General features: G+C 45.3%; 1 protein-coding gene across 2 annotated transcripts in view; it reads left to right on the top strand.

The window, feature by feature from the left end:
- Positions 1-18,364, top strand: part of MFHAS1 (multifunctional ROCO family signaling regulator 1) — a 110,277-nt gene that overhangs the window by 77,914 nt on the left and 13,999 nt on the right. For both annotated transcript variants that reach the window (NM_004225.3, XM_047422419.1), the window contains exon 2: positions 18,226-18,352. In NM_004225.3, the coding sequence (NP_004216.2) occupies positions 18,226-18,352 (127 nt within the window). The remainder of the gene's footprint in view (positions 1-18,225; positions 18,353-18,364) is intronic.

The following is an 18,364-nucleotide window of genomic DNA, read 5'->3' as shown; positions in this document are numbered from 1 at the left end:
TCCCCCACATCCTCAGCAACAATTGATTATGCTGAGTGTTTTTCATTTTATAAATTCTAGTAGGCATGCAACAAACATATGAAAAAAAGCTCAACATCACTGGTCATTAGAAAAATGTGAATCAAAACCACAATGAGATACCATCTCACACCAGTCAGAATGGCAATTATTAAAAAGTCAAGAAGCAACAGATGCTGGCGAAGCTGTGGAGAAATAGGAATGCTTTTACACTGTTGGTGGGAGTGCGAATTAGTTCAACCATTGTGGAAGACAGTGTGGCAATTCCTCAAAGACCTAGAACCAGAAATACCGTTTGACCCAGCAATTCCATTACTGGGTATATACTTAAAGGAATATAAATCATTCTGTTATAAAGATACATGCATGTGTATGTTCATCGCAGCACTATTCACAATAACAAAGACGTGGAATCAACCCAAATGCCCATCAATGATAGACTGGATAAAGAAAATGTGGTACATATACACCATGGAATACAATGCAGCCATAAAAAGGAACAAGATCATGTCCTTTGCAGGGACATGGTTGGAGCTGGAACCCATCATCCTCAGCAAACTAACACAGGAACAGAAAACCAAACACCGCATGTTGTCACTCATAAGTGGGAGCTGAACAATGAGAACCCATGGACACAGGGAGGGAAACAACACACACTGGGGCCTGTGTGGGGGGCGGTGAGAAAGGGAGGGCATTGAGAAGAATAGCTAATGGATGCTGGGCTTAATACCTAGGTGATGGGTTGATCTATGCAGCAAACTCCCATGGCACACGTTTACCCATGTAACAAACCTGCACATCCTGTACATGTACCCCAGAACCTAAAATAAGAAAAAAAAAAAAAAAAAAGAAATTCTAGCAGGCATGAAGTAGTATCTCATGTGGTTTTCATTTACAGCTCCCCAATATGCATCACGTTGAGTGTCTTTTCATGCTCCTATTTACCATCGGTTTACCTTCTTTGGTGCCTGTTAGAACTTTACCCATTTAAAAAAATTATTTTATTTATTTTCTTAAGTTTTCAGAGTTCTTTACATATTTGGCACATAGGTCTTTTATCAGATACATACTTTGCAAATATTTTCTCCCAGTCTGTGACTTGTCTTTTCATTCAGCATTTTTGGAAGAGCTTAACTTTTTTAACTTTCATGACAGGCTTACCATTTAAATAAAGAAATTGCAGTCATTCCTTGCTTAACAATTTGCATATGTTCTGAGAAACGCACCCTTGGGCGCTTGTGTCATCGTGCGAACATGACAGAGTGCACTTACACAAACCTAGATGGTCTAGCCTACTACACACCCAGGCTGTAGGGTCTAGCCTATTGCTCTTGGGCTACAAACCTGTACAGCATGTGACTGTACTGAATATTGTGACCATTGTAACAACGATGGTAAGTATTTGTGCATCTAACCTTAGAAAAGGTACAATCAAAATACAGTATAAAGATAAAAAATGGTGACCAGGCATGCTGGCTCATGCCTGTAATTCCAGCACTGTGGGAGGCTGAGGTGGGCAGATCACTTGAGGTCAGGAGTTCGAGGCCAGCCTGGCCAACATGGCGAAACCCTGTCTCTACTAAAAATACAAAAATTAGCTGGGCGTGGTGGCACACACCTGTAATCCCAGCTACTTGGGAGGCTGGGGAACAAGAATCGCTTGAACCTGGGAGGTGAAGGTTGCAGTGACCGAGATCATGCCCCTGCACTCCAGCATGGGCAACAGAGCAATACTCTGTCTCAAAAAAAAAAAAAAAAAGATAAAAATGTGGTATACACCTGTGTAGGGCACTTACTATAAATGGAGCTTGTAGGAATGGAAGTTGCTCTGGGTGAGTCAGTGTGGGTGAATATGGAGGCTCAGGACGTTACTGCTGCTGTAGACTTCAACACTGTACATTTAGGCCACATCCAATTTATTAAGTCTTTATTTCTTTAATAGTAAATTAACCTTAGCTTACTGTAACTTTTTTACTTTATAAACTTTTAATATTTTAACTTTTTGATTCTTACAGTAACACTTAGCTTAAAATACAAACATTGTACAGCTGTACAAAAATATTGTTTCTTTATATCCTTATTGTATGAGTTTTTTCTATTTAAATTTTATAGTTTTTTAATTTTTAAAGCTTTTTTGTTAAAATGAAGACACACACACATTGGCTCAGGCCTACACAGGGTCAGGATCATCAATATCACTGTCTTCTACCTCCACATCTTGTCGCACTGGAAGATCTTCAGGGACAATGACAGTGATGGAGCTGTTATACCCTGTAATAAAAATGCCTTCTCCTGGAACACCTCCCGAAGGGCCTGCCTGAGGCTGTTTTACAGTAATGTTTTAAAATAAGTAGGAGTACACCCTAAAAGAATGATAAAAAGTATAGTATAGTAAGCACATAATCCAGTAACATAGTCGTTTGTTATTATATACTGTACATAATTGTATGTGCTAGCATTTTATGACTGGCAGTGAAGTAGGTGGTTTATACCAGCATCACTGCAAACATAAGAATAATGCATTGCTCTACGACATCACTAGGTGATAAGAATTTTTCAGCTCTTTTGTAATCTTATGGGACCACCCTTATAAATGTGGGGTCTACCATTGCTCGAAAAGTCATTATATGAAGGCCAGGTGCAGTGGTTCATGCCTGTAATCCCAGCACTTTGGGAGGCTGAAGTGGACAGATCACTTGAGGTCACAAGTTTGAGACCATCCTGGCCAACAAAGTGAAACCCCGTCCCTACTAAAAATACAACCTTTAGTTGGGCGTGGTGGTGCACGCCTGTAACCCCAGCTACTCAGGAGGCTGAGGCCAGAGAATCGCTTGAACCCAGGAGGTGGAGGTTGCAGTGAGCTCAGATCACTCCACTGCACTCTAAGCCTGGGTGACAGCGAGACTCTATATCAAAAAGGCAAAAAAGAAGTCATTAGACAGTGCCTGACTGTATTTTATTCACAGTATCAAGCACTAAAAAACCTATGGCAAAAACAAGCACAAAGCAAAAGCAAAACATGCCTGTAGCCACATTACCCCTTCCCGCCAAGACAGTGTCACAGGAACCATATTCATTTGCACACCTAGGGCAAAAACCCCAGTCAAATATAAGAAGTAATGATTTCCAAGACCATGAGCATCAGGCAACAAAGGACAGTGATCCTGAGCTATGAGAAATGAAGGAGGCAAGCCCTGTCATTGCCCCAGCTTACTGTCTTGAGAGTTTCCAGGCTGTGGTGCCAGGAGGGTGGCCTAGATAGCCGACCCAGAGGAGAGAATTGCAGAAAGAAAGATCTCCAGAGATGTGCCCACCACCCTGGGACCCAGCAGCGTACTGACCAGCCCGTGTAAGTAACCAAGACTGGAGGACAAAAAGGGGGATGCTAAGATCTTACGCCGGCTTCAGTCTCCCCCTACCCCACACCCCTGAACCACTAAATGATTCTTCGTATCTCTGCCCTTTCCCCCTCAAAGGAAGCCATTTGCAACTACGATTCAGAAGAGGACATTTTGCACTACACTTACGGGCTTCTCCGAGCCATGTAATCCTCAAAATTGAGAAAATATTCTAAGAGGTTGGCATTGGAGTCGCCGCACATGGAACTTGACTTTGTTGTGGTTTTCTCTTTAGTTTGAAAAAGATCCAGTAATCTGGTAAGACAGCAAAGCAGGGTGACCACTTCCTGGAGTGCTTCTGGTTTTGGGGTTTTTTGTTTGCCCTTGGATGGCATGCGGAGAAGGTAGTACTGCCCAGGGAAGTCTGGAAGCTTCCTAGGTGGTGACTTGTGTACCCTGTGGAAGAAGAGGGTGTGGACTCTGGCCCCCGCAGCCTAACCCTGTGCCCCACCAGTGTCGGATTCAGAACCACACGCTTGAGGGCACTTGAGAGACCTCCGTGTTTATGCCCCAACTTATGGATTCGGGGATGGATGAGTTTCGTTCTTTAACATATATCTAGGGCCTGCCGTGTGCCTGACATTGTTCTGGATGCTTGGGATCCCACAGTGAGTAAGGAAAATCCCACTCTTGTGGAGCTTACGTCCCTGCAGAGGAGACGCAGCATCAGCTAGTATGCGTCAGGTGGACGTTAGTTACCCAAAGGAGAATAACCCTGGCCTTGGCCAGGCATGGCGGCTCACGCCGGTAATCCCAGCACTTTAGGAGGCTGAAGTGGGAGGATCACTTGAGACCATGAGTCTGAGACCAGGCTGGGCAACATGGCGAGACCTCATCTCTACAAAAAATAAAAATAAAAAAATGAGGTATGATGGTGTGTGCCTGTGGTCCCATTTACTTGGGATGCTGAGACTGCAGTGAGCTATGATTGCGCCACTGTACTCCAGCCTGGGTGACAGCGCAAGACCCTATCTCAAAAAAAAAAAAATTTTTATTCTGGTTTGCAATTATAATTTTTCAGAGGTTGAAGAGGCTTGGCAGTGCTGGGTTTAAATTAGTTGTGCAATTTAGTGCTTTTCCCGTCATCATAGATGCTGTGGGTTTCAAATGGCCTCAAGTCCCGGCTGGATTTTATTCTGCGGATGACACTTGGGTAGGGGAGTAGATAAAGAAAAGCTGGTGTTGAGAGAGGATTCCAGCTGGAATCCTCTCCCTGTAGTGCTGTGGGAGATGTTTCTGCCTGCGCGAGATATTATTCATGAGCAAAAGGAGAAAGTTGAGCCATTTCAAGGTTCCTTCTGGCCTTGAGGTGCTGTGGGTCCGATTGCAAGCCTGTGGGTTTTCTCCTCTCTCCCAGGACTCTTCAGGGAGGCCTCAGCTCTACCAGACCTCCCAGTCCCAACCTTCACTCCTTCTCCTTCCTCCCCTTCCTTGGAGAAAAATGAATCTGCAGAAATGTTAGGAGACAAGAAGCAAGTACACTTGACCCTTGAACAACTCGGGGTTTAGGGGCACTGACCAGCCCCCTCCCATGGAATCACATCCACATATAACATTTGACTCCTTAACTACTGATAGCCTATTGTTGACTGGAAGCCTTAACGGATAACATCAGTAGTTCATCAGCATGTATTTCGTATGTTTTATGTATTATATACTGTGCTCTTACGATAAACTAAGCTAGGGGAAAGAAAATGTTTAGAAAATCATAGGAAGAGAAAATGTATTTACTGTTCAGTGGAAGTGGATTGTCATAAAGATCTTCATCATCGTCTTCGTATTGAGTGAGCTGAGGAGGAGGAAGAGGAGGGGTTGGACTTGCTCTCTCAGGAGGTGGCAGAAGTGGAAGAAAATTTCCTGTAAATGGACCTGCATGGTTCAAACCTTTGTTGTTCAGGAGTTGACTGTATACGCCTTCTGATCATTTGTTTTTTCCCAAGACGGTCTTGCTTTGCCGCCCATACTGGAGTACAGTGGCATGATCTAGGCTCACTGCAACCTCCACCTCCCAGGTTCAAGCGATTCTCCTGCCTCAGCCTCCTGAGTAGTTGAGATTACAGGTGCCCACCACCATGCCTGGCTAATTTTTGTATTTTTAGTAGGATGAGGTTTTACCATGTCGGCCAGGCTGGTCTCGAACTTCTGGTCTCAAGCAATCTGCCCGCCTCGGCCTCCCAAAGTGATGGGATTACAGGCGCGAGCCACTGCGCCCGGCCTGGCTTCTGATCATTATTAAGGACTTCACATGATTCCCCTTAGTACTTCAAAGTCAGGTAGATTTTGATAAGGTCCTTGGGCGCTAGTTTTATAATTTCAGGTCATAAGGGTTCGTCCTATTTTCTCTTGCAAGGAAAATGAATGTTGGGGAGAGAACGTTGTCGTCTGAATGCTTTTATGCCGTCTGCAGTAACCTCTCTGAGTCTGGAACCATTTTCCAGTAAGAAGTAGGTGACAGGCTATCAAAATAAAGAGTAACCTTTTGAAAGCACTTCAGTGCAGCACTGTGGGCTTTTTATAATCTTGACTTGTGTTTTGTGAGAGGAGAGGGCTGAGCTAGGTTTGTGCTCTGCTCCTCCCCCTCCCCCTCTCCCCAACTGTCTTTGATCTGTGAAGCTTGTCTCATCCTTAGCCAAGTCTGCTGGAACTTTATCCAGAGCAGGAAAAGGGGAAATAGTTTTCCTTTCTTGGGTGGATTTGTATTTATATAAACCCTTAGCGAGCAAAATGGAGCCAAGTGGCACACGCGTCTGCAGGGAGGCGTGGTGGGACGAGTGAGTGGCGGGAAGAGGCGGCTTTGACTTGGGTCACATGGTGTCAGACCTTTTTAGGGTCAGTGAGGAGAGGATGGTGTAAGTCCTTGTGCACATTTTCTTAAGGACATACTTACATGTCGGGCCATTGTAGAGCAACAAAGGGCAGGGTGTGTGTGCATCTCACTGTATGTCTATATCACCAAGAGCAGCTGTCTCCAACCTTGTTCGGCACCACAGACTGGGGTTGGTGGGATGGTTTCATGATGATTCAAGTGCATTACATTTGTCGTGCACTTTATTTCTACTATTATTACATTGTAATAGATAATGAGATAATTATACAACTCACTATAATGTGGAATCAGTGGGAGCCCTGAGCTTGTTTTCCTGCAACTAGCTGGTCCCATCTGGTGGTGATGGGAGTGACAAATCATTAAGCATTAGATTCTTACAAGGAGCGCGCAACCTAGATCCCTCACATACAAGTTCACAGTAGGGTTTGCCCACTCTTATGAGAATCTCATGCTGCCCTGATCTGACAGGAGATGGAGCTCCGGTGGTAATTTGAGCAATGGGGAGTGGCTGTAAACAGATGAAGCTTTGCCTGCTCACCTACCACTCACCTCCCTCTGTGCTGCCCATGGACGCGTACCAGTCCATGGCCCTGGCGTTGGGCACCCTTGCTATAGAGTCATTCCTCCAACCCTTATTTGCGGGGGATGCTTTCCAAGTACCCTACTGGATCCTGAAACCACCAATGGCACCAAACCCAATTGCCATCAATTGGAAAACGTTTCCGGTCATATCTTTTGCCCACAAATGTAATGTCTTTTTCATCTTAACTAAGCACTTAGCAGGTGCTGTAACCATACCTTTTGCAGTTTGAGGTGTAGCAGCAAAACTAGCATGGATTTATTTTTCCTTTTTCACAGTTTCACAGAATATTCATTCTCACTGTAGATCTGGTAATTTCAGCATGCAATTTTTTTTCTTTCCTTATTAAGTCAAGACCTTTCAGCTTTTTACTAAAGCACTTAACAGCTTCTCTTTGGCAGATCCAAATCGCCAGCATCACTACTCTTACACTTTCGGGCCATTATGAAGTAAAATAAGGGTGACGTATTAAGCACTGCAACACTTTGACAGTGGATCTGATAACCGAGAAAGTGCCTAAGTGATGAGCAGGTGGGGAGCGTTTACAGCGTGGGGACACTGGGCAGAGGAGGGTTCCCAGGGGAGCGTCTACAGTGTGGGGACACTGGGCAGAGGAGGGTTCCCAGGGGAGCGTCTACAGTGTGGGGACACTGGGCAGAGGAGGGTTCCCAGGGGAGCGTCTACAGTGTGGGGGCACTGGGCAGAGGAGGGTTCCCAGGGGAGAGTCTACAGTGTGGGGACACTGGGCAGAGGAGGGTTCCCAGGGGAGCGTCTACAGTGTGGGGACAGTGGACACAGGAGATTTCATGGTGCTGGGGGGTATGGAGCTGGACAGGTCGAGATTTCATCATGCTACTAGAATGGTGCTAGATTTAAAACTGATGATTGTTTATTTCTGGAGTTTTTCATTTAATATTTTCAGACCCAGATTGATGGCTGGTAGCCGAAACCTTTGGAAGCAAAAACCACAGATGATGGGGGACCACTGTATATCTAAATATATCACTATATATAGTGATACATACAGATGAATGACAAGTTCAAGTTCATTTTGCTTTTTAAATTGTTACTAAGAGAATAATGTTGTAGAAGGCCTTAGCTCTCCTTTGCAACATTGACCTCGGAAGTTTTAGCTACTTACAGTGTGTCCCACTATTAATTTACTTCCTTGAATTAGTCTCAGCCTTTCACACCAGCTCTGGCCACTTCTTGTGGATGGTGAGGTTTTTAAGTGTGCATGCCATCCACGCGAATGCCTTCTTTTCATTGTAGGGGGTACAGGGAAAACTTTCCCTTTGCTCTCAGAAGAAGGTTCAGTGAAAATCAACTGATGAAAGGCAAATTAATAAGAATAAGAAGATTACTAAGGCAAATAAATTTATTAACATTCAAAGGGAATCACAGTGGGATACAGAAGCTATACGCTTTTTCATAGGGGAGGGAAGAGATGAGAATGTAGACAGCTCTTTTGAGAGGCAGTAAGTGAGGATTAGGGAGAATGAATGGACCACAGAGACCGAAATGAAATTGTAAGTGATTCTCTTTGGAATCTGAATGGGCCTGAGAGGCAGACATTATCTCGGGAAAATGTCTGTCAGGTGTGGTCACATTCGTCAGGCTTTTTTTCTGAGATAATGAGATTCCAGGGAGGGCATAGAAAGCATTTATGTTTCTTTTGGTGAGCGCTCTTGGTCAGATAAGGACGTTCCAGGAATAGTCCCTGCCCTTGTGGTTTGGGGAGGCACAAGACAAGGTTAGAGGGACCTTCATTCTGAGGCTTACTTCAGGGGCCGCTCAGCTTTCAAAAGCGCCCAGCGTGCTCAGGTGCCATATTTTGAGGAATGATTTTCTATACCCCCAACATCATAAAACCACCTCATTGAAGCTTCAAGTGGTGCCTCATGGTTCCTTTCTGTGTTTTCTTTTTTTTTTTGAGACAGAGTCTGGCTGTGTCCCCAGGGCTGTAGTGCAGTGGCACAATCTCGGCTCTCTGCAACCTCTGCCTCCCGGGTTCAAGCGATTCTCCTGCCTCAGCCTCCCAAGTTGCTGGGATTACAGATGTGTACCACCTCGCCTGGCTAATTTTTGTATGTTTAGTAGAGATGGGGTTTCAACATGTTGGCTAGGCTGGCCTCGAACTCCTGACCTCAAGTGATCTGCCAGCCTTGGCCTCCCAAAGTGCTGGGATTACAGGCCTGGGTCACCGGACCCGGCCCCTTTCTAGGATTTTTAGAAATTCCAGAGAAATCTCATACAAAATCTAGAGAAAGCATCTATTGTTCTTGTGTTATTGCAATTTGTATAGTGTCAGGGTTAATCTGGGACTGATGAAGATGCTGAGAACAGTAAGTTTAAAGAACTTTGATATAGAACAATATTTTACTTTGCTATTGTTCTGTCTTTTAGAACCAAAAATAAAGCCCTTCTTAGTAGGTGACTCAGCTTCCTGCAACCTCGCTGGGGAAATTTCTCCAAATATTAATGCATGCCACGTAAGCCAGGTTCACTTGCTGGCCCTGGATGTTTATTCTGGCCCCCAGTTATATTTATTTTGTGTCTGGTAGAGCCTCACACTTCAAAGTGGAATGCTCCTGAAGTTTCTACCTGGCCTCTCATCCCAGTGTTGTAATGGACACTTGGGGAAGGAAACTCCCCAGGGACTCTGGAGATGCCAAGACTCTGACGCTTTTGCAGCAGGTGGGCGTCCCGTGAGGAAGAGTGGCTTGGAGGAGGGGAGATGGGCTCTCCTGTTGCAGGTATTAGAAACAGAGAAAGCAGGAGGAAGAGGAATTGCAAATAACCAGGCATGAGGAAGACGTAGGGAACAATGCTACAGAGGATTGGATTTGTATGAATTATTTTTAAAACAAAACAAAACAAACAAACCCCCAAACGGCCAGGCACAGTGGCTCACGCCTGTAATCCCAGCACTTTGGGAGGCCAAGGTGGGCGGGTCACCTGAGGTCACAGGAGTTAGAGACCAGTCTGGCCAACATGGCAAAACCCCATCTCTACTAAAAATACAAAAATTAGCCAGTCATGGTGGTGCGCGCCTGTAATCCCAGCTATTTGGGAGTCTGAGGCAGGAGAATCTCTTGAACCCGGAAGGTGGAGGTTGTAGTGAGCCAAGATCATGCCACTGCACTCCAGCCTGGGCAACAGAGTGAGACTCTGTCTCAAAAAAGAAAGCAAAACAAAACAAAAAACCCTCCAAACAAAAGGTTGTCATGAAAGGGAAATGCAGTTGACCCTTGAACACACACGAGTTTGAACTGTGCCGGTCCACTTACAGAAGGATTTTCTTCCACTTCTGCCACCCCTGAGACAACCAGACCAACCCCTCCTCTTCCCCCTCCTCCCCAGCCTCCTCAATGAACAGACAATGATGAGGAAGACCTTTATGATGGTCTACTTCCACTTAATGAATAGTAAATATATTCTCTCTCAAGATTGTCTCAATAGCATTTTCTTTTTTCTAGCTTATTTTATTGTAAGAATACAGCACATGCTATATGTGACACACAAAATATCTGTTAATCAGCTGATTACATTATTGGTAAGGCTTCCAGTCAACAGTAGGCTTTTTGTAGTTAAGTTCTGGGGGTGGTCAGAAATGATACGTGGATTTTTGACTGCTTGGGGTGTTGATTGTTCAAGGGTCAACTATATAAGCTTGTAATGTGAGGGAAGAGACTAAATTCTGGTAGAGATTTGAAAAATAGTAGCAGTTTTTTCCCCTTGGCTTTCTGTGGTTGAACGTTTACCAAATGCATTGGAAGGGCCGTTGTGATCTGAGGCCTCAGCTTTTTGATCTAGAAGAGACCTGACTGATGATCCCTCAAGGGGCCCTTGGACCAACTGCAGCTCTTCTTGGTTTAGCAAACCTGAGATCATTTAGTCATCCCCTTCTCCCTCCTATCTTTCAAACCAAAAAATAATTTTAACAAAGCTTTATGTAATTAGCAAGCAAACATTACTGTCAGGACGATCGTCTTCTGCCAGGAGTTGGGCTAAACAAGGAAAAGCTGAGGTCATGGGCTCCAGGTGGAGCACCTGCCATGAAAGGAAAACTGAAAGGCGCCCGTCATCCGTGCCCAGTGTGTGGGCCTGGCACGGCTTCCCTGGCGTTATTCATTGGGAGAATCTGAGAACCATTGTGTGAGTCGCAGAAGTAATCAAGAGTGTGGCCTTTTTTCTTCCTTCTGCCTATAACTATCACCACTTTGGAGGATGCTTGGAAGAAGTGGAAGAAGCCAAGTGCTGACACTGAGTTTGTTTAGTGTTGCCTAGTGACCAGGCCATGAATACTCACTGAAGATAGGTGCTGAGGGCTTTCTGATTTAAGGGCATCTCTGAGAGGCCCCAACTGGCCTGGTTTATTTACCCTACCGATTGTACTCTGTGACTGCTAAGACTTCACAAATGGTTTCCAAAGCTTCAAGACGCTGAAGGGTGTTTATGAATGTTGTTTTTTTGTTTGTTTGTTTTTTGTTTATTTTATTTTATTGAAGTTTCAGCATTCAATATCAAAACCGGACTTGAGAATTCCACAAATGCCTGAAAATGGAAATTTCCTTACATTGTTAAATTGCCCAGAACTCAGTGGATTCCTACATTTTGAAGAGTTGCAGAGATGTGTGCTGAAAATGAAAACGGTTCTAGGAGAGGGTCATAATTTTTGATGGTGTAAGTTTTTGTAGCTGTCGTTGGAACCATACCTTAGGATATATTCAATTATCAAGTGAGCCTATGAGTTTGAGTCGTTTTGAAAAGGAATGATATCTGTGGGGCACTGGTTCCAGGACCCCCATGGGTACCAAAGTCTTTGGATGCTCAAGTCCCTGATATCCAGTGGCATGGTATTTGCACATAACCTACGAACATCCTCCCGGATGCTTTATTTTATTTTAGTTTAGTTTTCTGAGACAGAGTCTCACTCTGTCGCCCAGGCTGGAGTGCAATGGCACAGTCTCGGCTTACTGAAACCTCTGCCTCCTGGATTCCAGTGATTCTCCTGCCTCAGCTTCTGGAGTAGCTGAGATTACAGGCATGTGCCACGATGCCCCGCTAATTTTTGTTTTTTTAGTAGAGCCGAGGTTCCACCAGGTTGGCCAGGCTGGTCTCTAATTCCTGACCTCAGGTGATTTGCCTGCCTCGGCCTCCCAAAGTGCTGGGATTACAGGTGTGAGCCACTGCTCCCAGCCTCCTCCCTTACTTTAAATCATCTCTAGGTTACCTATAATAACTAATACAATACAAATGTTATGTAAATAGTTGTTATACTATTTTGTTTAGGGAATAATGACAAGAAAAAGGTCTATACATGTTCAGTACAGATGGAATTTAGTTTTCTTTTTCTTTCTTTTTTTTTTTTTTTGAGACAGGGTCTTGCTCTGTCGCCCAGGCTGGAGTGCAGTGGTGCGATTTCGGCTCACTGCAACCTCTGCCTCTCGGGTTCAAGCGATTCTTCTGCCTCAGCCTCCCAGGTAGCTGGGATTACAGGTGCCTACCACCATCCCTGGCTAATTTTCATCTTTTTAGTAGAGAATGGGGGTTTCACCATGTTGGCCAGGCTGGTCTTGAACTCCTGACCTCAAATGATCTGCCCCCACCCCTCGGCCTCCCAAAGTGCTGGTATTACAGGCATGAGCCACCACGTCCAGCCCAGGTGCAGTTTAAAAACAATTTTTTCGACCTGCAGTTGGTTGAATCCGTGGATGCAAAACTCACTGATAAGGAGGGCTAACTCTGTAATTGAGCCAAGAGCAAACCTTGTTCACAGGAAGAATGCAACATCCCTACAGTTTTGGGGAACCACTCTTTGAATCCCCAAAACCCCTTAAGAGTATATGTGGCTTAGTGGTAGAATATACCTGTGGGTACCCCAGCTGACTTGTTAGTGGCTATGCAGGAAGATTGTTGCCAAATCTACCGATAGCCTGCATACCTTGGGTAAGTCTCTTGCAAGTTCAGCAGCAACTCAGCCCCTTTAAGGATGTTCCACCTGCCTTCCCCATGAATTCAGCATCCCGTGTGGGTGGCCTTCCAGGGACCACAGCTGTTGCCTCATCATGTTTCCCAGAAAGTTCTGTAGCCTGCTTTCCGCACAGCCTGCTCCTTCACCCCCCAAGATAGCTTCCCAGGGAATTTGTTGGCACCCAGAGGACAGTCCCCTGCCTGCTAGCTTTGGCCAGCTGATCATGGACAGTCTGGCCTAGGGCAGTCCAGCCAGCTTCTCCACCATGCAAGGAGCTGCTCCATACCCTACCCTTCATTCCTTGTAACTGGGTAGCTTATAAGGAACAGAAATCTGTTTCTCACAGTGTGGGAGGTTGGTAAGTCCAAGATCAAGGCACCAGCAGATTTGGTATCTGGTGAGGGGTTTCTCATTCACATATGGTGTCTTCTCGCCATGTCCTCACATGCGCTTGTATGAACTCTTTGTGTATTTAGAAGAGTAAGCCTTTAGAGAATCTTCTCGTGACTACAGTAATAGGGTCAAGTACTTACTAGGTGCCAGATACAGTGTTCAGTATGTTTCGTGTATGTGTTACCTAATTTAAACATCATGCTATCCTTGACACAGGATATCTGGTAGTGATGAGTTTAGTCAGTCCTACTGTCAGAGTTCAGCACAGCCACTTCTTCCTGTGACCATTGGCAAACTACCTCTTGCATCTGAGCCTCAATTTCCTCTTCTGTATATAATGAGGATAATAATTGTCCCTCCCTTCTGGTGTTGTTGTGAAGACTGAGATGGTACATAAACAACATTAAGCCAGTAAAAAGTGCTCGCTCAATGTCAGTTGCTGCTGTGGTCATCTTTTCTTCTTCCTGGATTAACTTAGGCTTATTTTGCAGTTTGACATACATTACACCATGATGGTAAGGTAAAGTGCACGCATCGTTCTCCATTCTGATAACAAAAGTTGCTGGGTCCTTCGTCTAAGTGTTCCCCACTCTGAAGTCTTTCCCAGTCCTGTGAATCAGTATGAATCTCTCCTTCTCCGAACTCCACCAGCATCTCCTGTAAATTTCCTTGGGGGCCTCATCATACAGGACTGTAGTTCTTTGCACACCTGGCCTCCCCTGTGGACACTGGGATCCTCCATGGTGGAGGCTGTGCCCTCAACTCTCAGACCCCTGCGTCTTCTTCAGTCCTCACCCACAGTAAGGTCTCAATAGTTAGTTACTCAGTGAAATAATGCACTTTATTTTGAAGATCAAGTTTATGTTCAATTTGAGAATGATTAGCTTCTGTTTTGCTAGATAGCACACAAATAAACCATTCTTCATATGTGAGTTAAGATCATTTTGAAAGGAAAAAGCTGTTTTTCTTATGTTCTTAATCTAGGAACTGTGCACGTTTCTTAAATCCTGAGGATACTGGCACCGCGTAGTAGGTTGTTGGAGTATACAAACATGCTGGAAACTGTGGACTGTTCTGCTTGCTGCTCAGTATTTGTTAACATCAAGTGAATTTTTCACATGTGTGAAACTTCTCAGTGCCTTCCACCTTCGTGCTCTGTTTCCATGGATGGCAGTCCTGCTAGAGATAAGACCCAAACAAAACCAGTTACCTGGCTCTGTGTGACGTGGACAGTCTGGGGTACAGTTAGAGTTGATAATGGAGGCTTAATAGTCTGCTGTACATTCTTTCTTTCTTTCTTTTTTTTTTTGAGACAGAGTCTCACCCCATCGTCCAGGCTGGAGTGCAGTGTCTCAATCTTGGGTCACTGCAACCTCCACTTCCCAGGTTCAAGCGATTCTGCTGCCTCAGCCTCCTGAATAGCTGGGACTACAGGCGCGTGCCACCACGCCCCACTAATTTTTTATATTTTTAGTAGAGGCGGGGTTTTACCATGTTGGCCAGGATAGTCTCGATGTCCGGACCTTGTGATCCGCCCACCTCGGCCTCCCAGAGTGCTGGGATTACAGGTGTGAGCCACTGCACCCAGCCTGTTATTTCAAATTCTCTGGCAAAATGATCTGACCACCGAAAGCTGTGACATACTAGCCAAGAAGCCTGCTGCACCAGGCTGGTGCCAGGGATGGGTGCTGAGGACAGGGGCTTGGCATCTGCTGTTGTTATTCTGAGTGTCCAGGCAGATAAAAGCAGGTGGAGCTGGGGCCTGTGTGGAATTCCAACCAGGAGAGAGTTTTCAGGGGAAACCAAAGAAGCTGCATCTGTGTTCAAGCCCTGGGGATGATTTTAGGACAAAAGTAGAACTTGAAGATAAGCAGGCAAGGAGCTAGGTGAGGGCAGTCTCAGAAGTAAGAGTGTTAAGAGACTGGGGTGCCCACAGCAACTTCTCGTTGGAGTCCTGGCCCCTGTGGTGCATGGTGGGTGGGTTGGTTTACAGACCTGCAGCTCTCTGTGGGACTTGGAGCAAATCTGTTAAACTCAGAGGGCTTCTGACTTACTAGTTGATGTTTGGACTGGATGCCTTCCAGGTTCCAGTCTAGCTCGAACATGCTGTTACTTGGGTTCATTTTATTACTTTGATAAGCATTTAACATTTACATTTTTAACTTGCATTTTTATATTTGAGGATCTTTTCCTAGCTGGTGTTTGAAGTGCATTTTTGATATCCACATAGCCATGCTACAAGCTAATGATGCTAAATTAACTTTTGTAGCAGTTTGCTGTTTACAGGAGTTTGGTTAAGGAACTCAAATTACATTCACTTAATATTGTGCGACACTATATAAAAATGTACACGTCAGGAAATTAATGTTTTTCATAAAAGTATGCCGCTTAGTTCATTAATTAAAAATAGCGTTTTTAGATTGCTCATTTAGGAAAGATGAGTTCTGGCATAAAGAAGCAGTCCCTGCTTTGGGGAGGCATTAGCCTGGGGGCAAAGAGTAAGGGCCCCAGAAGTGGGTTCCCAAGTTCACATCCCAAGTCTGCTGCTGGTTAGCTCCTGACTCTGGGTACATCGCATAACCTCCCTGAGCATTAGCATCCTCATTTGTAAAATGAGGATAAACCCATCTAGGGCCATTGTGAAGATTACACGAGGTGTACATTTAAAACTGCAGGCCCAGTGCTGATATGGGCCTGCGCTATCAGTGTGGCCTTTGCGGGGGATGAGACATTTAGAAATACGGTGTTTTTGTTTTCTTTTGCTCTTTGAGACGGAGTCTCACTCTGTCGCCCGGGTTGGAGTGCAGTGGCCTGATCTCAGCTCACTGAAACCTCTGCCTCCTGGATTCAAGTGATTCTCATGCCTCAGCCTCCCGAATACCTGAGATTACAGGTGCCCGCCAACATGCCTGGCTGATTTTTGTATTTCTAGTAGAGACTGGGTTTTACCATGTTGGCCAGGCTGATCTTGAACTCCTGGGCTCAAGCGATCCACCCGTCTTTGCCTCGCAAAGTGCTGGGATTAGAGGCATGAACCACTGTCCCAGCCAGAAATACAGTACTTTGAAGCAAAGGAATTTCATATCATTATACGTCAGCAGATACAGTGGTCCCCTTATCCATGGTTTCACTTTCTGTGATTTCAGTTACCTGCAATCAACTGTGGTCCAAATACATGTGAATGCAGCATAATAATAGTTTTTGAGAGACCATATTCATAAAAGTTTAATTATTAATACAGTATATTATCATTGTCCTATTTATTGTTGTAAATTTCTTACTGTGCCTAATTTATAAATTAAACTTTATCATAGGTATCTACTTATAGGCAAAAACATAGTCTGTATAGTCTTCGGTACTGTCCTCGGTTTCATGCATCCGCTGGGGTCTTGGAACGCATGTCTGAGGGATAAGGGGGGACTGCTCTTCTTTGGAGTCTCTAGAATTTCTTTTCTTTTTTTTTTTTTGTTGTTGTTGAGACAGATTCTCACTCTGTCGCCCAGGCTGGAGTGCAGTGGCGCAATCTGGGCTCACTGGAACCTCTGCCTTCCGGGTTCAAGCGATTCACCTGCCTCAGCCTCCTGGGTAGCTGGGACTACAGGCACCTGCCACAAATGCCTAGCTGATTTTTGTATTTTTAGTAGATGTGGAGTTTCACCTTATTGGCCAGGCTGGTCTCGAACTCCTGACCTTGTGATCCACCTGCCTCAGCCTTCCAAACTGCTAGGATTGCAGGTGTGAGCCACCGCGCCCAGCCCGGAGTCTCTAGAATTTCAAGTCAGCAGTAGAAGTGGTTGGTGCAGAGAGTTGAAGTTGTAATTGCAGTAGTGTCTTTCCCCAGTTGGTGTACATTTCACATCCTTGATTTGGTTAATTGACTTTCTAGAAGCCAGACATGGTGGCTCACACCTGTAATCCCAGCACTTTGGGAGGCTGAGGTGGGAGGATTGCTTGAGGCCAGAAGTTTGAGACCAGCCTGGGAAACATATCGAGACTCCTGTCTCTACAAAAATAAAGTAAAAGGTTAACATTTAGCCAGATGTGGTGCTGCATACCTGTGGTCCCAGCTATTTGGGAGTCTGAGGTGGGAGGATCACCTGAGCCTGGGAGATTGAGGCTGCAGAGAGCTGTGATTAGGCCACTGCACTTCAGCCTGGGTGACAAACCAAGAGCCTGTCTCCAAAACAACAACAAAAAATTTAGTTCCTAGGTTTAAGTAGGGCAGTTTGAACAATAATGTGTCCCATCTGCAGCCAGGAGCTGTTTCTTGAGTACTCTCTGAGAAAGGGCAGGGTGCCCTGGGTATATGGATGAGAGAATGGAAGTCATCACTGCTTTTAGAGATGTAATGATCTAGTTGAAGAGAGATTACATCCAGGGCATGCAGAGTAATAGCGTTCCTTTAAGTATTGTGGTGATCCATTAGGTTAATTATGTGTTTTTGCTAGACTCGTTAGATAGTGTTGTGTCGTGCATCTGCTTCACACATACCTATCAGGGCAATCCCCTTGCCCAGAGGAGGCTGGGCTGATCTTAGGCTGTTTGTGTTTTTAACACTTTTAGTCTGCTGTGTTTCCAGATCATTTATATAGGGCTTTGTTGAATGGTTGCTGTGGTCTGCTTGAGTCCCATCTGCCCCAAATCCTAATTATGAACACCTCCTTGGCAGCCCTTGCTTCGGTGGGCTCTGGGGACTCTGGCTCAGTCGTTGATATCTAGATAAAGATCCCTGGAGTCAGTCTGTTAAAAGGAAGGTGAGCAGAGCAGTGACAGATGCTGTCTTTGTCTAGTGTGGGCCTTCCTGCCATAACCATGAAAATTTTCTCCACGGTGACGCAGAGGAGGATTTAGGCGCTGGAGCCGGCGCCCAGGCAGTTCTGCTGTTCTTGGTTGCACATTTGTTCTCACATCCTTCGTTGCTTCACCTCTGCCCTTCTCCCCCTGCCCCCATCCCCGGGCAGTGCTGTCTTTGTAAAATGAGCCCATTTTTAGTGCACATCTCCCTAACACGTTTTTCTCTCTCCTCCTACAGGGGAGTTGCTGAGTCAGCCCAGACCGGAAGGAGTGGCAGAGATCATTTGCCCCAAGAACGGCAGCGAGCGAGTAAATGTTGCCTTGGTTTACCCACCCACGCCGACTGTGATCAGCCCCTGTTCCAAGTGAGTTCTCAA

Source organism: Homo sapiens, chromosome 8 (assembly GCF_000001405.40).
Source record: "Homo sapiens chromosome 8, GRCh38.p14 Primary Assembly".
In the NCBI taxonomy this organism is placed as follows: domain Eukaryota; kingdom Metazoa; phylum Chordata; class Mammalia; order Primates; family Hominidae; genus Homo; species Homo sapiens.
This window is presented reverse-complemented; position numbering and strand designations above follow the sequence as displayed.